Below are 26,649 nucleotides of genomic sequence, written 5' to 3' on the forward strand. Positions count from 1 at the left end.
TCACCCAAGCTGGAGTGCAGTGGCGCGATCTCAGCTCACTGCAACCTCTGTCTCCTGGGCTTCAAGTGATTCTTCACCCTCAGCCTCCCAGTAGCTGGGATTACAGGCGCTCACCACCACGCCTGGCTAATTTTTGTATTTTTAGTAGAGAAGAGGTTTCACCATGTTGGCCAGGCTGGTCTTGAACTCCTTGGCCTCAAGTGATCCACCTGCCTTGGCTTCCCAAAGTGCTGGGATTACAGGCATGAGCCACCGCGCCTAGCCCTAACTCATTTTTTTAAATACCCAAATACTATGTAATCACTGCCTGTGATTTCAGTTGAAAGTGATCTAAATCCTAGCATGTCCATGTTAATTTTGTGTGTGTGTGTAGCTTCAGATGTTGTTAACATTTCTTAATCACTCAGGTGGGATTTTTCTAATGTTCTTTTCATTTTTCTTTATTAGATATTTATATATTATCGAAGTACATTTGTATATTATCAAAATGTTCTTATTGTAACAACTTAACTAATACTAAAATGGATAAAGGAAAAGTCAATCTCCTGGTAGTACCCCTCCATTCTTAACCTCTGAAGTAACTTGTGTTAAGTGACAATTGTGTATCTTACTGATATACAACTTTTTCACTGTCATACAAACATCCCCAAGGGTGTTTGTTTCTGAAAATATTACAGCATTGATATTCTGCACATTCCGTAGCTTGCTTTAATCACTCAATATGTTATAAACACCCCTTCGTGTTAATAGAAATAATACTAACTCATCCTTTTTAATAACCAAAGTATGGTTATATCATAATCTATTATACCATTCAAATGTTACTTCCAGTTTTGGGGGATTTTTTTTTTTTGGTCTTTTTGCTGTTGTTGTTCATTTTTTACTATTCCAAAAATGCTTCAACAAATATTCTTTTACAGATTGAATGTTGCTTATCCAAAATACTTGGGACCAGAAGTCTTGGGGATTTCTGATTTTCAGATTAGGGATGTTCAACCTGTATATACCTCCTTACACACTTTTGTTTCTCTTTTGCCATCTCAAATCTTGAAATTCAAGTTTTGATTCATGTGTCATTTGTTTAGAATATTCCTTCTAGCATTTCCCTTCAATAAGATACATGGTGGTTTACTCTGTGAGACCTTACCTGGCCAAAAATGTGTTCACTCAGCTCCCAGATAGATCCAGCTATGAGAGCCTCTTAAGCAATGGCATATCAGGCAGTGATGCATCCATCACTGGGCTCTTCCCTTAGGGGCTGGGCATCACACCAGCTACAAGACTATCGGCTCTCTGCTTGTCATCTTTCTGGCTGCATGTAGCAGTCCTTTCCCAGCTTCAGTGCCTGGGAGCAATTTCACTGCAACCCCTGTGTATGCAGATCCATAGTCTTCCACTGTCTGGGTTCCTCAGGAAGCAAGGAAGCCCTAGGTCTTTGCCTCAAGCTTGAAGAAAAATCTAAGCTTCCCTGCTGTCAGTTCCCTGGTTCTCTCTTCACTTCAGAGAGTATAGCCCTCTACCTGGCTTTCTTCCCTGGAGATCTCAAGGGAACTTGGGGCCTCAGATGGACCCTCCTTAGTGTGTCTGCTTTTATTCTTGTGCTACTCCATGGAGGAAATGGACCAAAGGTCAAGTCAGGAATTTATACTCTCACCATCATCTTCCCCAAATCTCAATCTCTTGATTTAAAAAAAAAAAAAAATAGATATTTTCAAAATTGCTCAACAGCATTTCATTTTCTGTTGCTATTTATAATGTCAACATGCAAAGCACTCCTCTGAGTGTTACATATCAAAGTGGATACTGACCCTGCCCTCTAGGGCTCTAATGTCCAGAGAGATAAGACTATGGGAAATGAATAATCCTGGAAGTGATAGCAAAATGATACTAACTTAGGGCCAAGCTTGGTGGCTCACACCTATAACTCCAGCACTTTGGGAGGCGGAGGTAGGAGGATGGCTTGAGCCCAGGAGTTTGAGACCAGCCTGGGCAACATAGGGAGACCCCATCTCTAGAAATAATTTAAAAATTAGAAAAAAAAAATTAGCCAGGCATGATGGCACATGCCTGTAGTCCCAGCTACTCAGGAGGCTGAGGTGGGAGGATTGCTTGAGCCCAGGGAGTCAAGGCTGCAATAGCCACAGTCACACCACTGGGCTCCAGCCTGGGTGACGGAGCAGGACCCTGTCCCCCAACCCCCAACCCCCCCCAAAAAAAGGATATTAACTCAAGAGATCTTTTAAACAGGACATCAAGGTAGTCACAGGGAAGAGATTGTGTTCGACCAAAAGTGACTTTCTCTTTTCTCTTTAATCTTTTCTTTTTTTTGAGACAGGGTCTCGCTCCATTATTCAGGCTAGAGTGCAGTGGCTCCATCACAGCTCGCTGTAGCCCCCCCCTCCTGGGCTCAATTGATCCTCTCACCTCAGCCTCCCGAGTAGCTGGGACTACAGGCACACATGTCTAGCTAATTTTTTATTTTGGTAGAGTTGGGATTTCACCACATTGCCCAGGATGGTCTTGAACTTTTGGGCTCAAGTGATCCTCCCACCTCGGTCTTCCAAATTCGGTGCTGGGATTACAGACGTGAGCCACCACACCCAGCTGTTTTAGCCACGTTTAATGAGTCTGTGACCTTTGTCAGCCATCATGGAAACCCAGCATAATGTTGCATGCATGCCTAGTTGGTTCTCAAGTAGAATTTTGGAACATAATCTCTTCATAAATTAAGGGCTGGTTGTGTATTCACATTTTATGATATTTTATATTTCTTTTCTATTTTTATAATTATAATTCCCTTTCAACAGTTTTTCCTGATTAAAGATATTTTAGTAGCTGGCTTCTTTTTAAACTCTTTTTAAACTTTTTAAAGTTTTTAAACTTTAAATTTTAAGAAGCTTTTGTAATATGTGATTTGTCTGTTTATGCCTTATTTTGTTTGTTATTTTGAAGCAAACATAGGAAGTGGCTTACTGCCTTGTATAAAAAGATATCAGAGAACAGTGGAGTCATTTGGAAAAAGCGCAGTGGTAAAGTGGCTTCGGAAGTGATTTTTTCCCCTTATTTTCTGGCACAGTGCTTTCTAAGATGATGTTGCTCACTGTAGTTTTCTTTCACTTTTAAAGGCATGATGGTTCCAGGCAGGATAATCTTAAATGGTGATTTGTCATCTTTTTTTCCCCTTGCAGCATTGCTATGGCAACAAAAGAAAATATGACTTCACAGAGAGGAATGTTGAAGTCAATTCACAGCAAAATGAACACTTTGGCCAGTATCCTTTTTGAATGTTCGCAGTCTGTGTTTTGAGGGTAGAGGGGAGAAGTGTCTGTGTGTGCTTTTATAGGGGGCAGGTTGCCATCATCAGTAGCAGTAGAGCCCATCAGTAATTGCATAATATGAATATACTGTGCATTCCTACTTTGTGAAAGTTTATGCTCTTTAGTACCATTCCTAAAAGACTGCACCTCAGAAGTTTCTTACTACTAGATGTAGAAGAAAAAAATTATAAATGTGAATTTAAAAATTATCCACCAATTTCTTCTACATTTTAGAAAGCTTTTAAATTCATGTTAGAACTCCACACTATACATTATTCTTACCTAAACATGATAAATTATATGCCTTTGTTGTTTTTCCCATTTAGAGATAAGTCAGTGGCAGATGCTTGGAAGGGGGAAGGAAGGAGACAGCCACCCGTGCAGATGAGCTATAGCTACTGATGGAGTTTGTAACTCTATGCACAGGCTGAATTCTAGGATACATTCTCCACTTGTTTGTTGTAACCTCTACTTTAAAATGTTTCAGTTTTCTGTTTTAAATTAGGATTATTAATACTTCCCAGAAACCCACTAGGGAACCAGAAAAGCCTGGCACTCTGAGTCATTTCATTCAGCGAACCTCTGAAAAGACAAGCCTTCTAGGCAAAAAGCTTTCCTCCCCAACTGCCAAAGGGGGAGGAACCTAGAATTTTCAAAAGCTGAGTATCTTGTAGTCCTAGATAATTTGAGTTCACTTTTAGTTTGATATGTCTTTGCCTAAGGAAAAGACTCTCCTGATGTGTGCTGTTATTCTCCAGTCCACTGTGAATTTTGTTCTTGCCTTGTCACCCTAAGTATAAAACCACATGTCTAAAATCACATTTTAGATAGGGCTATAAAATTTACAGAGTGCTGTTATATACATTATCTCATTTTACTAAACTATGAACTCAATTGCCAGCCAGAAAAGCTGATCAGTGAATTTAAGAGTTTGTATTTAGTGAAACTTTTGAAACTTTGAAATAGAAGTGTGAGTCAGATAGCTGATGATTTAAAACACTAAAGCCTTTCTCAATTGTTCATTAGAATTTACCACCACTCTTCTTTGTGACCTCTTCTCTACTGCTCTGTAAGCATCTCTCCCATAAGTTCTCTCTCTCTTTTTTTTTTTTTTTTTTTTTTTTTTTTTAAGACAGAGTCTCACCCTGTTACCATCCAGGCTGGAGTACAGTGGCACGATCTCAGCTCACTGCAACCTCCAGCCTCTCAGGTTCATGCAGTCCTCCCGCCTCAGCCTTCTGAGTAGCTGGGACTACAGACACGTGCCACCATGCCCGGCTAATTTTTGTATGTTTTGTAGAGATGGGGTTTCACCATGTTGCCCAGGCGAGTCTCAAACTCCTAGGCTCAAGCAGTCCTTCAGCCTTGGCCTCCCAAAGTGCTGGGATTATAGGTGTGAGCCACCCTGCCCAGCCCAACACTAAGTTCCCTTAAGGCAAAGTAGTATACTGGAACCTAGCATAGCGCCTCATACAAATAAGTCACATGGGAATTTTACAATTACTCCAAAAGAATGTGTTCAAAAAAAAAAAAAATCAAAAAAAATGGGTGTGGGTCAGGGCTAAAGTTTAGTCCACTTTCCTCCTGTATCTGCCTTCTGCTGCGAAGTAACTTTGAAAATATTAATAATTCACCAGTGTCTGATTATATAGACCTTAGAGTTGGTTCCCATGAATTGCCTGAATCTAAGGCGGGAAAAGATCAGGTATTTCTTCAAACTCTCAGGCAGAACTCCCCAGTCTCCTGAGAGAAGAGGAAAAGAGAAGGAAAATGAGGAAAGGGAGGGAAATGGGTGGTGGTGGCGATGGGAGCTGGCTATGCCTGTGCCTCCCTGCCAGAGTTCCTCCATTCCTGGCCACGCTGGCTCCCACCCTGACCTGAAGCCTGGCAGTAAGCCCTCAGTGCTTGGGAACTGTCATCGTCCTTTTCTTCTCCCTCTCTCTCTATTACTATTCTTATTTGTGTTACACACAAGACTGGGAGATGTGTATTGGTTAGGGGCCTTGAGCCGCAGCGCGTTCCCGGTTTGGGCAACTGCATCTGCTAAAGATTCCCTTGGTGTGAGTTTCTTCCCCATGCCTTTCATCACTGTTTCTAGACACCACTGATCTCTATTTTTGTGATTCCTACGACTTTTCGCCAGAGAGGCTTCTTCCAAATATGACCTTAATAAAGATTTCCCAAAGATCGTTTTCCTGCTGTAAACAGCCTGATCCAGAGGATCAACCTGAGGAAGCGGCGGGACTCGCTCATCCTAGGGGGTGTTATTGGGATCTGTACCATCCTGTTGCTGCTGTATGCGTTCCATTGATGGGACATCTTCAGGGACTCTTGACAGCCACCGCTTTCACACCCTGGTCTGGAATAAGGAAACATCGGAGGGAGAAGTTGACTGTCTTGATAATTAGCCTGACCAGCAGGATGAATGCAAGACTGACAGTGATGGACTCTGTGACATGGTCAGGTTGAGCTGAAGCCACAGTTTCTCTGTGCTGTGTTTTCTAACACATTTTTCTGTTTTTAATTAAAAAAAAAAAAAAAAGGTTTTCAGTTGCTTTTGTCTCCCTAGGAGGCAGGTAAACCAATCAAAAACAGAGTTTTCTGTGTTTCCATGATAGTGTTGAAGCCTAATGACAAGCCAGGTCTTACAGCTGGGCTCTTCAGAAAACCAGGTTTCTACATCCAAAGACTGCTTTTCTTTTAGCTGCCAGATTGGATTGTGAATAAAAATAATTCTTCCCTCTCCCTCTCCCTCTCCCCACGGTCTCCCTCTTTCCACGGTCTCCCTCTGATGCCGAGCCGAAGCTGGACTGTACTGCTGCCATCTCGGCTCACTGCAACCTCCCTGCCTGATTCTCCTGCCTCAGCCTGCCGAGTGCCTGCAATTGCAGGCGAGCGCCGCCACGCCTGACTGCCTCGGCCTCCCGAGGTGCCGGGATTGCAGACGGAGTCTCGTTCACTCAGTGCTCAATGGTGCCCAGGCTGGAGTGCAGTGGCGTGATCTCGGCTCACTACAACCTCCACCTCCCAGCCACCTGCCTTGGCCTCCCAAAGTGCCGAGATTGCAGCCTCTGCCCGGCCGCCACCCCGTCTGGAAAGTGAGGAGCGCCTCTGCCCGGCCGCCATCCCATCTAGGAAGTGAGGAGCGCCTCTTCCCAGCCGCCATCCCATCTAGGAAGTGAGGAGCGTCTCTGCCCGGCCGCCCATCGTCTGAGATGTGGGGAGCGCCTCTGCCCCGCCGCCCCGTCTGGGATGTGAGGAGCTCCTCTGCCCGGCCGCGACCCCGTCTGGGAGGTGAGGAGCGTCTCTGTCTGGCCACCCCGTCTGAGAAGTGAGGAGACCTCCGCCCGGCAGCCGCCCTGTCTGAGAAGTGAGGAGCCCCTCCGCCCGGCAGCCACCCCATCTGGGAAGTGAGGAGCGTCTACGCCCGGGCAGCTGCCCCGTCCGGGAGGGAGGTGGGGGGGTCAGCCCCCCGCCCGGCCAGCCGCCCCGTCCGGGAGGGAGGTGGGGGGGATCAGCCCCCCGCCCGGCCAGCCGCCCCGTCCGGGAGGGAGGTGGGGGGCGCCTCTGCCCGGCCGCCCCTGCCCGGCCGCCCCTACTGGGAAGTGAGGAGCCCCTCTGCCTGGCCACCACCCCATCTGGGAGGTGTGCCCAGCAGCTCATTGAGAACGGGCCATGATGACAATGGCGGTTTTGTGGAATAGAAAAGGCGGAAAGGTGGGGAAAAGATTGAGAAATTGGATGGTTGCCGTGTCTGTGTAGAAAGAAGTAGACATGGGAGACTTTTCATTTTGTTCTGTACTAAGAAAAATTCTTCTGCCTTGGGATCCTGTTGATCTATGACCTTACCCCCAACCTGGTGCTCTCTGAAACATGTGCTGTGTCCACTCAGGGTTAAATGGATTAAGGGTGGTGCAAGATGTGCTTTGTTAAACAGATGCTTGAAGGCAGCATGCTCCTTAAGAGTCATCACCACTCCCTAATCTCAAGTACCCAGGGACACAAACACTGCGGAAGGCGGCAGGGTCCTCTGCCTAGGAAAACCAGAGACCTTTGTTCACTTGTTGATCTGCTGACCTTCCCTCCACTATTGTCCTATGACCCTGCCAAATCCCCCTCTGCGAGAAACACCCAAGAATGATCAATTAAAAAAAAAATAATATAATAATAATTCTTGTCCTCTTATTTTACACTCATAATGAGAAATCACAAGTTCTTTCTTGATGATCTGTGCTATAGATTTCTACTCTGTCTCCTCAACTCTGTTGATATTTGGGGAAAATTCTGTTTTTCATAGATTCTTTGAGATGCTGATGGACCAGCTTCAGCATGTTTGAGGTTGTCTGAAATGGAGATCACTGTAAAACTGTCTTTTTCTTTTAAATTACAAGTACACTGGGGTTAACTGTATTGCTGGAAAAACATCAAGAATGACAGTCTTATATTTAAGGCACCAGTCATTGTTTCCATTTTTTTTTTAATTCTTCCCTTGGATTAATATTTTCTACTGAAAAGAAATGAAATCTCAGTTCCACTATGATAAAAGAAACGAATCACCAGTGTCTGTCAGTGCCCCCACTGCTCCTCCTCATACCAGCATTGACACTGGTAGCTGAGGAAGGGGACTGCTCAATTTCTAATGTGATCTATTCAAGAAGCCACATATAAAAAGGCATTGAGGGCTCACTGTCCAGAGAATTGCTTTTGTAAATGCTCCACAACGTATGGGCAAAAGTTTAAGGACTACTGCCTGATGTACCAGGAATCCTGAGTTCTGTGAAAATCTGTTCATTCCAAATCTGTTAAGCATTTCCAAACATCCAGAGAATGGTTTCACTGTTGAGGGTGCATGTGGCAGAATCTGTCTCTCTCTGCACCTGTCTTCTGTTACCATCCCTGGACAGTGACAGATTTTAAGCCAGCCACCAGAATTCTTTTCGAGTTAACCATTTCTTAGTTTCTGTAAATTCATGACTTGTCTTACTGAACTACAGCCTGGTTTGTAGACTTCCAACATCTACACTGCTGCTCTTCACCATTGGAATTCACTGTGGTATTTATAGTATTGGCTTCAGTCCGAGCCACAGGCAATAAAAGGATATCAGCTGTAGTTCTCAGCTACATCATGGTGTATAGATGCTGTTATTCAGGCGAACTTGCTCATGGGTGGACTAACACCTGGTTTGGTACAGAGACTGAGAAGTTTTTCATTCTGGTGTCAAAGTTTTGTTACATTATGGGTGTGAAGGGCATTTGATATATTTTTCTTAACTATGGGGTTTATTTTTCTAAATGTGGGTTGATTGACTGTTAATTGATTCAGGGTACCCTTAAAAGAAAAGAAGTTTTCCCATTGTGAACCTTAAATGATCAGAGAAGTAAGTTCATTGATTAAATTCTCTGTTGGGAGAACAAAACTTTTCTCCCTTGACACTTTATTATCTTTGATTTTTCAAAGGGCCTTGATTGGTGGTTGTGTCTCGGTTAAAATTTATGGGACTTTGCTATGTAGTTGGCATTTATAAAATCTGAAGTATCATAAATAAAGTTATTTATTTAATTATACTACCAGTCTTTTTTACTGGTCTGATTCTTTTGTGCATTCATTAAAGCTGATTGTGTGAGAGTGAACTGGGACACAAGCTAGTCTAGCTCACTGCAGCCAAGCAAACCCTGTTGATGGCTGATGGGCCTTTCCATTAGGGTTTTGCTTATGTGAAGTAATGGAATTATGTTGGTTATTTTCTTTATGAAAATAAACCAGTTCTTCCAAGGAAGTTAAAAGGCTTGGTATGGATGTTGGTGTCAGATAGGTCTGACTAACCTCTCCGTGCTGCAGCCTATACTAAGGTGACCCAGGGCCACATGTAGACAGCTAGGCCAGTGCTTTTTCCTCTTAGGGTTTCTTTGCAGAAAGAAACCTCCAGCAAGGGAAGAGAGGTGTGTGTCCACAGGAAGGGGCTCCGTGGGGATCCCATGAAGGGATTTGAGCTCTTTCAGCTCCATGTCATTTAACTTTTTTGTTTAACCACCTTGGCTTTCTCTCCTTTTTTGCTGTCCTCCTTACGGACCAGTTACCAGATTCAGAGGCTAACAGTTAGTTACTTGTTAATGCTAGTCACAGCCAGGAGGTCAGAAGGAATTTTCTACTTCTGGATCCAAATGTTACCTCTTAGGGGAAGTTATGCCCCCTCAACTATTGTCTTATTATAATGAATCTTTCCTTTTTGGTCCTTTTAAGTAACCACTCAAAACTTTTCATTTCACTGAAAAAATATGAAAAACCATGACAATAGGGCTGGGTGCAGTGGCTCACGCCTGTAATCTTAGCACTTTGGGAGACCAAGGCAGGCGGATCGTTTGAGGCCAGGAGTTTGAGACCAGCCTGGGCAATGTAGCAAGACTCTGTCTCTGCAAAAAAAATTAAAAGATACCTGAGAGCTCACTTTAATATCAAGGTATTTGCATCCATTCCCACCCTGTTAGCTCTTAAGGGAGGAGGGAAATCAATTCCAACCATACTTTCCTGTGATGGAAGATGTTTCCTCTTGAAAAAATGCCAATACAGATTTTTAAAACCTATTGTTTTCCAAATGCACTTTGTAAGTTTTTGCTTTTAAAATAGCTTCTTGGAACCAATTTTATTGTATTTGTACTTAATTTTTGTTCTCATCTAAATGTGCATTTTCTGACTGTATAGAAGAAGCTTTGGTATGTAATTTAATAATAAATTAGAAATCTAAATGATTGCATTTGTAATTGTTTATATTGAAACAGTAACCATCAAGGTAGTTTGGGGATAGAGATTATGGTATCTCTGGTGTTGATAAGTGTTTCTCATGATGTCCTGAAACCCAGGATGAAATAATACAGGTGCTGAAAAGCTGTCACATGTCATTCAGAAACCATCATATGAACAGTCCACTAGTATTTTAGCCCTAGAAGTGAAGGGGAATCTCTTAACATGAAACTTCAGGAGGCATAATGGGAATCTACAATTGTAGAATTGGCTGGGTGCAGTGGCTAACACCTGTAATCCCAGCAGTTCGAGAGGCCGAGGCAGGAGGATTGCTTGAGACCAGGGATTTGAGACCAGTCTGGGCAACACAGCAAAGACCTTGTCTCTACAAAAACTAAAATTAGCCATTCATGATGGTGTGCACCTATAGTCCCAGCTACTCGGAAGGCTGAGGTAGGAGGATCATGAGCCCAGGAGGTCAAGGCTGCAGTAAGCAACGATTGTGCCACTGTACTCCAGCCTGGGTGACAGAGACCCTGTCTCAAAAATAAATTAATTTTTTAAAAATCGTGTACTGCTGGGCTTTAGTACATTAGTTGTGCAACCAGCCCCACTGTCTAATTTTAGAGCTTTGCAATTAATCCAGCCAGTGATCAATTCCTCTTCTATAAAATGGTGATAAGGATGGCTACCATAATTGTGCCCTGATTATATTGTCAGGGTTATGTGAGGAAATGCTCATAAGCATCTCAGCAAAGCCAGGGGTACAGGGCTCACCTGACATAAGAGATATCCTTGGGTTTGTCCTAATAGCGAGAAACCGGGCCTCTTTTGCCTCTTTTTTTCCCTCTTGCTGATGTGGGAGAGGAGAGAACATTCAAGAGGTGATCAGCAGACATCCTTAATTTTGATAAAGGCAGCTGAGCGGGGAAATATAAGGTCGGTTCTGTGTAGATAGACAGGTGGAACCCAGCAATCAGTTTAACCAGCCTCCAAGCGGTTCTGATGCATGCCAGAGGTGGAGAACCACGCTCTATAAGTACACACATTCTATTTAGTCATTCCATTCTAGACCGATAGCTTTTATTTTTAGTTTGGAACTATTACAAATTGTGCTGCTCTGGACATTCTCGAACATGGGTTTTGGGACACACATGTACACTTTTCTGTTGCTTATACCTAGGAATAAGATTGTTGGATTATAGGTGATGCACATACTCAGTTTTAAGATATGTTGTCAGACATTTTTCCAAAGCAATTGTGCCAATGCCCGTGCCTACCAGTAATGTGTGAATATTCCATTTCCTTCACATCTTCAGCAACACTTAATGATGCCAGTCAGAATTTGCATTTCCCTGATAGCTAACGAGGTTGGGCATTTTTACATGCTTGCTAGCTGTTAGGATATCTTTCTTTATGTAATATCCCTTCAGATGTTTGCATATTGATTAATCCGACTGTTTTTTTCCAGTTAATTTTTCCTTTGTTGAATAAATATGTTGCAAATATACCTTCCCATTCTGTGACTTGTCGTTTATTTTCTTTCCTCTTTTTTTTTTTTTGAGACGGAGTCTCACTCTATCATCCAGGCTGGAGTGCAGTGGTGTGATCTCGGCTCACTGCAACCTCTGCCTCCCTGCAACCTCCACCTCCCAGATTCAAGCAATTTTCCTGCTTCAGCCTCCCCAGTAGCTGGGGTTACAGTCATGTGCCACCATGCCCAGCTAATTTTTGTGTATTTTTAGTAGAGATGGGGTTTCACCATGTTGTTCAGGCTGGTCTCGAACTCCTCCACCCACCTCGGCCTCCTAAAGTGTTAGGATTACAAGTGTGAGCCACTGCACCCAGCCATACTTTCTTTTTTCTTTTTCTTTTTTTTTGAGATGGAGTCTTGCTCTGTCACCCAGGCTGGAGTGCAGTGGTGTGATCTCAGCTCACTGCAACCTCCATCTCCTGGGTTCAAGCGATTCTCATGCCTCAGCCTCCCAAGTAGCTGGAATTACAGGTGCGGGCCACCACACCTGGCTAATTTTTGTATTTTTGGTATTTCACCACGTTGGTGAAATAATTTTCATGTATTTCACCATGTTGGTCAGGCTGGTCCCGCCCACCTCGGCTTTCCAAAGTGCTGGAATTACAGGCATGAGCCACCATGCCTGGCCTTGTTCTCCTTTCTTAATGGTGGTTTTGATGAAGTTCTTAATTTTAATGTAATTCAATTTATCAATTTTTTTCCTTTGTGGTTAGTGTTTTTGTATCCTGTTAAGGAATCTTTGCCTACCTCCAATGCCATGAAGATATTCTCCTTTTTTTTTTTTTCTAAAAGCTGTATTATTTTGCTTTTCAATTTAGAACTATAAATATTGTGCAACTAATTACTATGTATGATTTGAGGCAGGGGTCAAGATTCATTTTTCCATATGGATATGCAATTGATCCAGCACCATTTGACAAGGTCATCCTTCCTTCACTGCACTGGAGCACCAGCTTTGTCATGAGTGAAGCAATTGTCTAGGTGGGAGTCTTTTTCTGGATGTTTCATTCTTTTCCATTGGTCTGTTTTTCTACCCTTGAGAAAATACCACTCTATCTGAATTACTGTAATTTTACAATAAGTCCTGATATCTGGTAGTACAGGTCCTGCCCATTTGTTCTGTTTCCTCAAGGTTGTCTTGGCTATTCTTGGTCTTTTGCATTTTTATATAAATTACAGAATCACTTTGTCAGCTTCCAAGAAAAACGTGCTGGATTTTGATTGGTATTATACTAAATATATAGATCAATTGGAGGAGAATGAACATCGTTACAGTATTGACTCCTTCGGTTCATATCATGATATTTCCCTCCACTTATTTCAATCCTGTTAATGTTTCAGTACTGCTCCACCTGTCTGCCCTCCAGGCTGGTGCTGGCCTCTGGGATGGAGGAGCTTCAGGTATACTTGGAGAAAGAACCCCAGGTGTCTCCTCCAACCCTTCATGTTCTCTCCTTGACTGTGGCAAGGAGAGGTGGGAAGGGAAGAGACCAAATAGGAGTCAGAGGAAAGGAGGCTGCAGTAACCCACTGCACCTTGGTACAGGGTCCTGTGCTGGAGAAATCTAGAGATGATAAAATATGTAAGGAAAAAAACACAAGGCTGGTTACAATCATACTGGGTAGCAGACAATGGGATGTAAAGGAGAAAGAGGCCTGGACACTTGGGCAAGAAGAGAGCTTAGTATGCATGGATTGGACAGGACTGGTCCTAAAACTACCTTCATCACAAAAAAGCTGCATGTCCCTGGAGAAGACTCCCCTCATTGGGCCTCTTTCCTCACCGTGAAATGAGAGGACTTGGACCTGATGCTCTGGATGCTTCCTTCAGCTCTGCCACTAGGACACTGGTACTGATGGAGGATGATGGCAAGAAGCTAGGTTGAATGTAAGTGACTTGCCCTTTGCCCTGTCCCTCCAGGTGTAGTCTTTGAACTCTAACCATCCACGCACTCTTCCTTTCCACAGAACAGATCCCTGTTTCAGGCTGACTTCATCCCGCTGGATGGAATTCCAGCCAATGTGATCCAAAGAGGGAAGCAGTACCAGGCTGCAGCCCTCGTCATGCTGAAGATGGAGCCTCCTGGGAAGCTGCTACCCATGGTCATCCAGGTGAGGGCCCTGGACCTCCCTGCCTACACTGTGCTCTGTTCATTTTAACCTCTGCTCCCAGGGACCCAGCCTCCTGCCTTTTGGCTCCCAAAGCTACCCCCACTCAGCAGGTCCAGTCCTTGTGTTCAGCCACCCAGTGACTGCTTGCTGTCTTGTCCTTCCTCACCTGGAACTACCTTCTGAGAGTCATAACGGCATCTCTTGGTTCTCATCCTGAGGCTACTCAACCTCTTTGTGACCTTTGAATCTATTGAACATTCCCTCTTTCTTAAACATGTTTTCTCCTTTTGGTTTTAATGATTTTTTTTTCACTCCTATTGTTCACACAGTGAGTGGACAGGGATTGTCAGTTATCTCATACATCCAGCTTCTCCTTCTCATTCCACTATCCTGACTCAGACCCTCATGACATTTCTCCCAAAGCACTGTTAGCCTTACTTGGCTTCCTTCTACCATTCTCTCCTGCACTTAACCTATCATTGTATTCACAGGGCACCACAGATAGTGAGAGGCAGGGTGGAGGGGTCTTCATTCTTCATACTACCTGGAAGGCAATAATCTTACATTAGCCATATGTTCCCCCCGGAACACTCAGCATAGCATCATCCATATGGGGAGAGGTGAATAAATGCTTAATTCTTCCTCCTTCTGGCTTCACCCTCCCAGCTTCAGCTCTCCCACCCCAATACTGTTCCTGCCCTCAAATCCTTTGCTTGCCTGGCTCCTGGCTAAATCCTGGATCTGAAACTCCGATTCCAACTGCACAAGCTCCGATACTATTTGCTGAACACTCATCTCGTAGCTGAAGTCATTGCTATTGTCACCATAATGTGCCTCCCACGTTTGCGCCCTGTCTTCAAGGTACAAGCTCCACCACTCTCCGTGTCCCAAAGCAACAACCCAACAGCTGCCTAGTTTTAAAGAAATCTGAGGCACCTGGGACAACATGTAAACAGAGCTGCTTGAAATTTCACAAACATCCATATGATATTACAGCAGAGAATCTTCATGGCAATTTGTAAATGGAGGCGAGAGGAGATGGATAATTGAGCCAGGGCCTTCAGCCTTGTGATTGTACTTTTAATGTCTAAATTAATTTAATGTAAGCTAATTATAGACTCACAGGCAGTTGTTAGAAATACTAAAGAGATCCCATCTATCCCATTAAGTCAAGTCACTTAGCATTTATCCAGTACATACTGTAGGGTGGTTCTCTGAAATTCTCTAGTAGTGGGTCTTGAGTAGAGTAGGAATACAAATATATTAAGCAAAAGTGTTGCATCTGCATTGGGAGATTTATCATTTATCATGAAAGACAGGCAGTACATATGAGAAAAAAACAAAACAGTATCTGTGATATGGTTTGGATGTTTTCCCTCCACTTCTCATGTTGAAGTGTAATCCCCAGTGTTGGACGCAGGGCCTGGTGGAAGGTGTTTGGGTCATGGCTTCATGCTGTCCTCCTGATAATGAGTGAGTTCTCACTCTGAATTCACACGAGATCTGGTTGTTTAAAAGAGATCTTGCTCTTGCTCTTGCTCTCCTGCTCCCTCTCTCCATGTGACGTGCCTGCTCTGCTCCCCCTTCACCCTCCACCATGATTGAAAGCTTCCTGAAGCCTCACTAGAAGCTAAGCGATGCCAACATGCTTCCTGTACAGTCTGCAGAACCATGAGCCACTTAAACCTCTTTTCTTAGTAAATTTTCCCGTCTCAGATAATCCCTCATAGCAATGCAAAACAGACTACCACAATCTAGAAACAGAGTTTGAGATGAAGAGAAATAGCTGTAATCACTATAGTATCTATGGAGAATGTTCCACCACAAGTGGGGAGTCTTTAGGTAGAAGACCAAAGGGCAAGGCGAGCAGCCCAGCGGGTTTCTCATACCTGACTAAGGAGAGAGGTAGATAAAGACATTAGCATGGCAGTGACAGGAGGATGGAAGAGAAAAATCAAATACGTGGTGATGGGGGAAGAGTAGCTGCAGCATGCCTGTGTCCAAGATGGAATGGAGATGTAAGCTTCCTCAACACCTAGGAGCCTACGGGGGGCATGTTGTACTTCCCTAGAAATACTAACATTTTACAAAACAGTGAGTCTACTATCTATTGCGAGGCAGAAAGCAGCAAAGTAAAACTTGTGCTTGCTTAAACATGTTTTCAAAATCTTTATGACATTTTATATATAGAAAAAGGGAGCAAAATGATATAAGCTTATGAACCAGAGCAGTGGTCAGAAACAGTAAAGTCAGGAGAAGGAGGCAGTTTCGGGGACAAAGATGAGGTGTTCTGTTTTAGATGCATGGAGTTCGAAGAGTTGGCAAGATATGCAAGTGAGCGCCTGGCAGGCAGGACAGCTGGATTGTGTTTCTGCTGCTGGTCACCACCTCCACCCCCAAATCTGGCTATTACTAGTTGTGGTCCCTCTGGGTCTGAGAGAACATAGATAAGGTAGGCATTAATATACTTTATGGAATCTTAGACTTGATTGCGTTCATGCTGCCTTTGCCTCACCACCTGGTGCCCAGGTTGAATAGGTTAAGCCCACTCTCACATCTCAGAATCCCCCTTCACTAGTTCAGCCCTCTGTTCACTCATCTCCCTCGCATAACCACTTCCTCCTATGGCAAACAGCTGAGTTGTTGTCAAGACACAGAGGAGGGCTAAGCCCACAAATATCATAAAAGTGACCTGTGCAGGCTCTGGACTCAGACTGTTGGAGTCTGAGTCCTCAGTACTTAACAGGTGTGTGTTTCAGGGTCCTCATCTCTGAATGGAGATAACAGAATTTCCATTGTGAGGTTGTTAAGGGATTAAACGACAGGACAGGCAGTGTGACTCAGGATAAATAGGAGCGATAGGTGAGTCTTTCCTATTACTATGTAGCAATATGTTATTATTGTTAGTTGTTTATCCTTGGGTATGTTGTTATTATTTTTTATTCTTTTTTTTACCTTCAGCCAACTCACTCCATGTTGTTGTTATTAGTTGCTTATCCTGGGTATCTACCCACTTCATCTGGACTTTGGGTTTTCTATGACATTCACCATCTTTCCATGGAGTTTTCCAGGTTCAAGCCAACGTGAGCTGCTTTGATATCTTTGCCTCAAGAGTATTCTTTGGGCCGGTCCCGTGTGTCCGGCATTAAAGACCTTAGATAGATACCAATGGCATAAATCCTGCATATGAACCAGTTGAAAATGAAAACAAAATAGTTCTTTTTTTGTTTTTTTAGAGACAGGGTATTGCTCTGTCACGTAGGCTGGAGTGCAGTGGCACAATCACAGCTCACTGCAGCTTCAGCTTCCTGGGCTCAAGAGATCCTCCTGCCTCAGTCTCCTGAGTAGCTTAGTCTAGACATACACCACTACACCTGTGTACCTGGCTAATTTTTAACTTTAATTAGGGACAGAGGCTTGCTGTGTTGCCTAGGCTGGTCTCGAACTTCTGGCCTCAAGTGATCCTCTGCCCTGGCCTCCCAAAGAACTGGGATTATAGGTGTGAGCCACCATGTTTGGCCCCAAATAGGTTAAGAATAAAAAAATGAATGCGAGAATCAGGGACCCCTTTTTTAAGAGTCAAAGAAAAGCAGGAAAGAGGAAACCTAATAGTATCTAACTGGGGGCCAGGGAAGATTTGATGAGAATAGCTTGGCTTTGCTCCATGAATTCTGACTGAAGCCACCGTACTCAACACCACTTCAATATAAACAATAAGAGTAAGATGATCAGAGATTGGAGGAACAGCTTTGAAAATAAGCAGAGGCTAGTTTAAGCTATAAGGATGTGAATGATGGAGGAGGTATATAAAAAATCAAACGTTAAGGGGCTGATTCTTAAAGGGCAGCTGTACTCAAGGTGGAAATAATAGAGGTAATGATAACAGCTGCTATTTGAGGACTTGTGTACCCAAGGCACTGTGCTAAAAATGCTCTCTGTACATCACGGACATAAACATAACGACAGTGCCTGAAATAAGAGACCTGGTTATCACCTCCCACTGACAGATAAGGAGATTGACACTGGGAGAGTTTATTATATCGCCAAGTATCGAAATTAGAGGTGAACATGGACTCAAATCCAGGTCAGTCTGACTCTGGGGCATTACGCACAAGGAAGTCGGAGAGCGCGAGCGTGAGTGTCAGGGCAGCAGCAGACCAGTCTGTCAAGGCAGCAGCGGGGAGGAAAGCATCGAGAGGAGAAGGCTCCATGCTGTGTAATGGGCCCTCCCAGGAACGAGCCAAGCATGGTCTCCACCCACCACCCCTCCAATCTCCTCGCCAGCTCCTGATCTCCCATATCTACTACATCATGGAAATCAACATCTGGACCTGATCCCAACACATCTCAGATGGTGGAATATTTGCTAGGGTAAGAAGGGAATGGGGCATGAGGCCACCTAATCATCCAACAATCTCTGTCCTGCCAGCTTCAAGATCTCCCAGGCCAACCTGTGTGAACGTCCTGAAGCTTAAGCCCCTGAGCCCTATCCCTTTTATAGCCATGACTTTAAATATGAAAACCCCACCTCTGAACCCCCTTTATAGCATGTCCTCATTCTCCAGCTGTGCTCCCATCCCTCAAGACCTGTCATCTCTCTTGTCCCAGGCAGTGAGCACAGGTGGAGGGGGCCATGTGCAGTTGCTCCATTGGGCAGCGGCTCAGCTGACCTGCTGCTCCCTCTGTTGTCCTGATGACCTGGCTGCCTGTGGCCTGCTGGGACTCCCACGTGCTGTCCATACCCATGATGCTTTAGGCCCTGGGAGATTATTACCCAGTAGGATGTCCTGAAGGCACGTCTTGTGAGGTCTATCCAGATATACTGAAAGCATTGGGCAGATGTCACAGAAAGAGGAGGAGAGGTCAGAGGCCGGGCCTCCTGCTCTCCGAGGCTCAGCGCCTTCTCCCCTGGGCAGGTGTGTGGAGATCGTCCACCTCTTCCACCAAAGGGATGACACGGTGAGGGTGGACCCTGAGCTGCAGGCCTGGGATCAGGAGATCATGGAGGTGGGGCTGTGCCAGGCCCAGGACCGAGGTAAGATCTGTCCCAGAGATAGGAGCTCCTGGGAGACTCTGCCAGGGACCCTTCCCAGTGCTGCCCTTCTGGGGACAGGACCCCACCCTCTCCTCACACCTCCCTTCCTCCACACAGGAGAGCATCTGCATCCCATTCCCACCTCCCCAGACTCAGGACACTTCTAGAGACCTGAGGACTGTCCTCCTCGGAGACCCTGGCCATCAACCCTACCCCCACCCCACCCCAGTCACAGATGCCCCTGAGCTGCCATATCCTGGGGCCCAACCAGGCCAGAGCCACAGCTGTGAGGGGGTCTGCCGGTCCCTGCTGGGGCTCATGTTCTCACTTCACGTTTGTCTGCTTTTTACCTAAGGATGCAAACAGGGAGATTTTCCCTTCCAAAGCTCAGAGTGACCTACCTTGGCTTTCCCTCCCTTCCCCTCCTGCCTGCTACTGTCCAGCACACACGAAGGGCACAGACCTGCTGCACCCTCGCAGCAGTGCAAGGCCAGCTCTAGAGGCCATCTCAATACTGTATATGCTTTGGCTCCAACCTGAACTCAATGCCCTGACGCTTGGGTCAGTCCCTTCCCTAGGATCTAGCTGCTACCTTTTGTCCCCGCCCACTGCATTTTTATTTATGGAGAAGACATAGCCTTTCTTGGGCCCTTCCCAGGTTCATTTTCCTCTCTCTCGCACACATGGGCCAGCCAGGATTGTTTCAGGTCATCCTTCAGCTTCTCTCCCTTCATCCTTCAGAGCAACACCTTGAGTCCCACCCTTTGCCTGTGTGGGAAAACGCAAACACCCACTGGCCAGGCCCCGGGGACGCCCATATCAATAAATTAACCCCTGCCTTAAAGGGGAGTCTTGCCCTGGAGGACCTGGGGCTACACCACCTTACCCATCCCACCCCACCCTTTGGGCCCTTCAAGAACCAAACTTTCTCCATATATTTTTTTTTTAATTGATCATTCTTGGGTGTTTCTCGCAGAGGGGGATTTGGCAGGGTCATAGGACAATAGCGGAGGGAAGGTCAGCAGATAAACAAGTGAACAAGGGTCTCTGATTTTCCTAGGCAGAGGACCCTGCGGCCTTCCGCAGTGTTTGTGTCCCTGGGTACTTGAGATTAGGGAGTGGTGATGACTCTTAAGGAGCATGCTGCCTTCAAGCATCTGTTTAACAAAGCACATCTTGCACCGCCCTTAATCCATTTAACCCTGAGTGGACACAGCACATGTTTCGGAGAGCACCGGGTTGGGGGTAAGGTCATAGATCAACAGGATCCCAAGGCAGAAGAACTTTTCTTAGTACAGAACAAAATGGAGTCTCCTATGTCCACTTCTTTCTACACAGACACAGCAACAATCTGATTTCTCTATCTTTTCCCCACATTTCCCCCTTTTCTATTCGACAAAACCGCCATCGTCATCATGGCCCGTTCTCAATGAGCTGCTGGGTACACCTCCCAGACGGGGTGGTGGCCGGGCAGAGGGGCTCCTCACTTCCCAGAAGGGGCGGCCGGGCAGAGGCACCCCCCACCTCCCTCCCGGACGGGGCGGCTGGCCGGGCGGGGGCTGCCCCCCCCACCTCCCTCCCGGAGATTTTTTTTAATTTTATTATTTTTATTTATTTTTGGGATGAGGTCTTGCTCTGTTGCCCAGGCTAGAGTGCAGTGGTGTGATCTTGGCTCACTGCAACCTCCACCTCCTGGGTTCAAGCGATTCTTCTGCCTCAGCCTTACCTTGACCAGGCTGGTCTTGAACTCCTGACCTCGTGATCCACCCGCCTTGGCCTCCCAAAGTGCTGGGATTACAGGTGTGTGCCACCACGCCCAGCCACTTTCTCGAGTTTTCTAGGTTCTTTCTTTTAGGCAACCCATGCCCCAAAAGACCATTATTTTTCTCCTTGGCTCTCTTCTCCCCATGAAATAGCCACATTAGAGATTGTACAATACATATTTACACATAAACTTTAACCTCTCATTCCCCATTTCTCTTGCGCCATATTCAATACTCTTTTTACCTCACCATTCTGTCATCACCTGAGGAAAAGGCAATGTGCTAATTTTCTTTAAATTTAACTTTTATTTTTAAGTTCAGGGGTACCTGTGCAGGTTTGTTATATAGGTAAACTTTTGTCACAGGGGTTTGTTATATAGATGATTTTGTCACCCAGGTATTAAGCCTAGTACCCATTAGTTATTTTTCCTGATCCTCTCCCTCCTCCCATCCTCCACTTTCCCATAGGCCCCAGTGTCTGTTGTTCCCCTCTATGTGTCCATGTGTTCTTGTCATTTAGCTCCCACTTTAAGTATTTGTTTTGTTCCCACGTTAGTTTGCTAAGGATAGTGGCCTCCAGCTCCATTCATGTTCCTGCAAAGGACATGATCTTGTTCTTTTTTATGGCTGCATAGTAGTCCATGGTGTATCTGTACCACATTCTCTTTATTCAGCCTACCATTGATAGGCATTTAGGATGATTCCATGTCTTTGCTATTGTGAATAGAGCTGCAGTGAACATAGGCATGCATGTGTCTTTATGATGGAATAATTTATATTCCTTTAGGTATATACCCAGCAATGGGGTTGCTGGGTCAAATGGCATTTCTTTTGTTAGGTCTTTGAGGAATTGCTGCACTGTCTTCCACAGTGGTTGAACTGATTTACACTCCCACCAATGGTGTATAAGCTTTCTTTTTTTCTCCACAACCTTGCCACCGTCTGTTATTTTTTGACTTTTTAATAGTAGCCATTCTGACTGGTGTGAGATGGTATCTCATTGTAGTTTCGATTTGCATTTCTCTAATGATCATTGATGTTGAGCTTTTTTTCATATGATTGTTGGCTGCATGTATTGTCTTATTTTGAAAAGTGTCTGTTTGTGTCCTTTGCCCACTTTTTAATGGGGTTGCTTTTTGCTTATAAATTTAAGTTTCTTGTAGACGCCAGACATTAGATCTTTGTCAGATACATAGTTTGCAAAAATTTTCTCCCATTCTGTAGGTTGTCTCTTCACTCTATTAATAGTTTCTTTTGCTGTGCAGAGGCTCTTTAGTTTAATTAGATCCTGTTTGTCAATTTTTGCTTTTGTTGCAATTGCTTCGGTGTCTTCATCATGAAATCTTTGCCCATTCCTATGCCCAGAATGGTATTGCCTAGGTTGTCTTCCAGCATTGTTATAGTTCGGGGTTTTACGTTTAAGTCTTTAATTCGTCTTGAGTAAATTTTTGTGTATGGTGTAAGGAATAGATCTAGTTTCAATCTTCTGCATATGGCTAGCCAGTTATCCCAGCACCAGCCAAGTGGTTTTTTCATCCCCGCTATGTTCAATTCAAATTTATTTAACCATGGAACAATTATTTTATTTTTATTTTTATTTTACCGTAATATTTTACCAAACAAATACTGTCAATTGAAAGGAGCATTTAACAGAGCATGCATGTCAGATTTATTTGAGGAAATTTGAAAACAAATACGTATATACGTCTCTCAGCTTCCATTGATGGGAGTAGAAGAAGGAAGTAAATGATATCAAAGACACTTAGAAATTATCCGGTAAACCAGCAATTCCAATGAAATCTACGTAACAGTAATGGCACAGTCCTGACACATGAATCACAAACTTGCATGGGACTTCAAATGGTAGCACTTAGGTGATGATCCTTTAAATGAACAATAGCTACCTAATTTTATTATATTTTACTCAGATTTCTTTCCTTTGTGTCTATCATCTAGAAAATACAAACCAATATAAGCCACTACAATATACATATGATTAATAAGGTAGACCTTCCAGTCTATAATGGCAAGGATCAGTGTTTTGAATAGTAAAGAGCAAAGTGGCTAATATTTCTCACTTATCACTTGAAGGGGCTTGGTTCATGCGGGTTCTACAGGACTCATCTTTCTCTACATTGTTCATTTTCAACTAGGAATGAGTGTCACTTACTGAGATTTAAAATTTTTCTTTTAAGGACTAGGATGGTCCTCTTTTTGGCTAAGTGACCTTGAGCAAGCTATTTAATCTCTGAGTTCTGGTTTCCTTATCTCTAAAATGGATGTATTGCATGCCCCCCCCCACCACACACACACACATTCAGATTTTTGAGACCAAATAAATAATGAACGTGACATTGTTGAAGTGTGGGTAGTACAGTTGGCATAAGATGATTGTTATCATATGCCCCACTCTACAAAAACTACCTCCCCAATACGCATGTGGAGTAGGAGAGCCCAGGCCCTGCCACATGATGGAAGTCATTAAATTCTCTGATGCCCATCTCACATGTAAATTGAGTGGAATGGAATAGTTGATTTCCAGTTTCCTTACTGTCTTTGACATGAGTCTAGGACCTCTCTATTTCTCTACATTATAATCCAGATACCTAAAACCACTGCCTAAAACCTCCTGGGAATAGGAGGGCATGCTTCGGTATTCTTAACTACTTTGGGTGTCAGAGACAGATTTCACTGAAATAAAACAAACTTACAGAAAAGTTGTATAAATCCTAAGTGTACAACTTGATATGTTTTTCCTAAGGTTACAAACCTATATGATTAGCACTCATATCAATCAACACAGTACTAGCAGCTTTCCCAGAAGCTCCTTGTATTTTCTCCTAGTCTTTTGATCCAAAGGTAACCACTGTCCTGATTTCTAACAGCGTAGGTTACTTTTTAATTTGACATAAATGCAAATAAAAACACTCACTCACCTGTGCTTGGTTTCATTCTCTAAGCAATAGGTTTAAGATTTACCCACATTGTTGCAGATAGTTCTTCATTTTCATTTTGTGAAGTATCCCATTATATAAGTATGGCACAATTTATTATTTTTTTCTGCTATTGATGGACATTTAGGTTGTTTCCAGTTGGAGGCTAACAACGTCAGTGCAGCTATGAACATGGTTGTATGTGCATTTCTGTTGGGTATATACTTAGAAGTGGAATTGGTAGATCATAGGTTATGTGCATATACACTTTTAGTAGTTACTGACAAGTTTCCTGAAGTAGTTCCAGCAATTTCCACTTTTTCCAGAAGAATATGAGTTACAGTTGCTTCACATCCTCTCAAATACTTGGTGTTTTCTTTTCTTTTCTTTTCTTTTTTGAGATGGAGACTCACCCTGTCACCCAGGCTGGAGTGCAGTGGCATGATCTCAGCTCACTGCAACCTCCATCTTCCAGGTTCAAGCAGTTCTCCTGCCTCAGCCTCCTGAGTAGCTGGGATTACAGGCGCCTGCCACCACACCCAGCTAATTGTTTTGTATTTTTAGTAGAGATGGGGTTTCACTGTGTTGGCCAGGCTGGTTTCAAATTCCTGACCTCAAGTGATCCACCCATCTGGGCCTCCCAAAGTGCTAGGATTAAAGGGGTAAGCCACCGCGCCCAGCCATACTTGGCATTTTCTGTCGTTTTCACTTTAGCTGTTGTGGTGAATATGCTGCATTATCATGTTGTGAGTTGAACTCACATTCTCTCAATGACCAGTGGATCTGAGCACCTTTTCCTAGGCTGAGTAGCCACATGGACATCTTCTTTTGTGCAGAGCCCTTTAAAATCGTTTTGCCCATTTTCCTTTTGTCTCCTATTATTCCCTCATTTTAAACTGTTTTTTAACAGGGAACATTTGACCACCACACAGCCTCTCAGATTTCCTCATCCTTCAAAATCTACCATAATAATCATAGCTATAAGGTACTGAGGGGCTTTATATCATCATCTGATGTATAAGGTAATTAATATTATCCCCACTTTCAGAGGCAAATGTTGAGGCTCAGACAGAGTGAGCAACAGGTCCAAGGGGATGCAGCTGGGCAGCAGCAGGGCCAGGACTGTACCCAGAGCTGATGCCACAGCCTGTGCTCCGACCACAGCACTCCCTGCTTTGCAGATGATTGTCATTGAGGCTTGCTCCCTTAACGAAATTACCAGCGATCATCTCTGACTGTTCATATCTCCTTTTGCTGCTTTATTTCTATTCTTATCCCTAACATACTATGCGTAACTTTAATTTTTAATGATTCTATATATGCTCTTTCTTCTCTATTAGAATCTAAATTCTGAGAGGGCGGGGATTTTTGTTACTTTTGTATACCCACGTATTCCCAATGCCTAGAGAGTGCCTGGTACATAGCAGTTGTATACTTTTTGAATAAATGAATAAACACTCATTAATTCTAAGGCTTGGGTGTCCCAGGACATGAGGATTTATTTTTATATCCCCTCTGGGGCTGCAGACTGTAAACTTGGCTCATTCTTCTCCTAGGTTTCCCTGTCTCCTTCCAGTCTCGAGCTCAGCTCTGCCGTTTCCTCGCCATGTGAATCTTCACATGCACCCCCCACCATGCAGCCATCAACCAGGGCCAGCCGTGGATAAACAAAAGCCTGCATCTGTCAGGGCAGGTGTCTGGACTGGGGGTTCTTGAAAGAGACAGCCGGGGGCTAGTGTCCACACATCAAGGTTCAGGGTGAATTCAGGTTCCTCTTCTAGCTTGACTGGTATGCCTGGATCCCTAATGGCCCGTGCTCAGTGAGGATGCCCTCACCCACCACCAAACAAGATGCGACAAGGCCCACAGTGATGAGGTCACTCCCTGATGTCTGGCAATCCTATGTTCAAATAAGCATCATGTGGCTTCTGAGCTGGCGGCAGGTGGACGTGGTGAGAGGGGACCTCTGAGACTACAGAGGAGATATCAGGGTGCGGGGATGGATTCCGGGTCCCTGTGTCTTGGAACTAGGAGCTCATTCATCCTCTTTTCTGCCCCAGGTACCCCCTTGAGCATCAGAAAGTATATGTCTCAGGCCCTGAGCCCAAAGCTGTGCTGAGACAATTTCAAACAGATCTGGACAACCTGGAAAGGGAAATTGTGGCCCGAAATGAGAAACTAGACCTTCCCTATGACTATCTGAAGCCCAGCTACATAGAGAACATATCACTATCTGAGATCAAATATTCTGGTCCTCAAAGACCTTAGGCCATCATTACTATGAACATTTTCCTCCTGAATCTTGTCTTTTCTTAGCTCTCAGTTGCTGTGTTTTTCTTTCCTCCTCTGATTTTTCTACCTGAGTATCTCATTAGCCTGAGGCACTGTACTTACCTTCAGGGACCCTATGAGAACGATCTGCACATTGCAATCACATTCCTTAGAGAAATCACCCATATACTCCTGTAGCTTTCCCTTGGCCCTGGAAATTTACCTACTCCATTCATCATAGAATGTTTAGGAGTGATTATCTATATGGCACGCTATAGAGGTGCAATTTCATTTCTTTCTATCTGGATAATCAGTTATGCCAGCACAGTTCATAGAAAAACTCATTCTTTCCCACTAATCTGCAATGCTGACATTAATCAAATTCCTGTATACAAATGTTACTACTGGAACTGTCCGTTCTGCTACATTCATCAGTTTTTCCTTCCCTGCATCACAGTGATGTAAGTACTATGGGTTTATACCTAACACAGCCTACTATTTGATAAGACATACTCATCCAATTTGTTCTTTCCAGGTGCTCTGGCTTTTCTTAAACATATAAATATTACAATTATTTTGTTAAGTTTCAGAAATAACGGATGATGTGATTTTGATTGGAATCACATTGTATGTATAGAAATTTTAATACAAAATTTTTGCATTACAAAAATGTCAACTTCAGCCAAGTTTGCATTTTTGAGATATATCCAAGTGGGTCCTTTTATGTATTGTGATTCCATTTGTTTTTTGTTTGTTTGTTTGTTTGCCTGTATTGCATCTGGGTTCCTGGGTAAGATTGGCCTATGAAGGGTTATAGACTTGTAGAGAGGCAATATCAGGAACTCTGCTAAAATGAGTTCATTAAAATAATAGTGAAGAACAAAATACAGAATTCTGTCACTAGAGACTCAAATGCATTTGCTGAAATCATGTACAGTTGGGCCTC

General features: G+C 44.0%; 1 protein-coding gene and 1 pseudogene across 12 annotated transcripts in view, besides 2 other annotated features; both read left to right on the forward strand.

Annotated features, from left to right (window-relative positions):
* Window positions 1-10,842, forward strand: part of GOSR1 (golgi SNAP receptor complex member 1) — a 50,185-nt gene extending 39,343 nt beyond the window's left edge. For all 12 annotated transcript variants that reach the window (XM_005258070.6, XM_017025374.3, XM_005258071.6 and 9 more), the window contains 2 exons: window positions 3,189-3,271; window positions 5,504-10,842. In XM_005258070.6, coding sequence (XP_005258127.1) covers window positions 3,189-3,271; window positions 5,504-5,628 — 208 coding nt within the window. In that variant the 3' untranslated portion in view covers window positions 5,629-10,842. The remainder of the gene's footprint in view (window positions 1-3,188; window positions 3,272-5,503) is intronic.
* On the forward strand, window positions 12,936-25,090 carry ALOX12P1 (arachidonate 12-lipoxygenase pseudogene 1; annotated as a pseudogene).
* Window positions 19,667-20,216: an enhancer, noted in NCBI's record as "NANOG-H3K27ac hESC enhancer chr17:28863435-28863984 (GRCh37/hg19 assembly coordinates)". NCBI's record gives its function as "activates a minimal SCP1, AML or CMV promoter by ChIP-STARR-seq in naive H9 embryonic stem cells {active_cell/tissue: H9 hESC(naive)}" and the evidence as "EXISTENCE:reporter gene assay evidence [ECO:0000049][PMID:30033119]".
* Window positions 24,659-25,160: an enhancer, noted in NCBI's record as "H3K4me1 hESC enhancer chr17:28868427-28868928 (GRCh37/hg19 assembly coordinates)". NCBI's record gives its function as "activates a minimal SCP1, AML or CMV promoter by ChIP-STARR-seq in primed H9 embryonic stem cells {active_cell/tissue: H9 hESC(primed)}" and the evidence as "EXISTENCE:reporter gene assay evidence [ECO:0000049][PMID:30033119]".

The sequence above is a fragment of the Homo sapiens genome, chromosome 17 (genome assembly GCF_000001405.40).
Source record: "Homo sapiens chromosome 17, GRCh38.p14 Primary Assembly".
Lineage (NCBI taxonomy): Eukaryota > Metazoa > Chordata > Mammalia > Primates > Hominidae > Homo > Homo sapiens.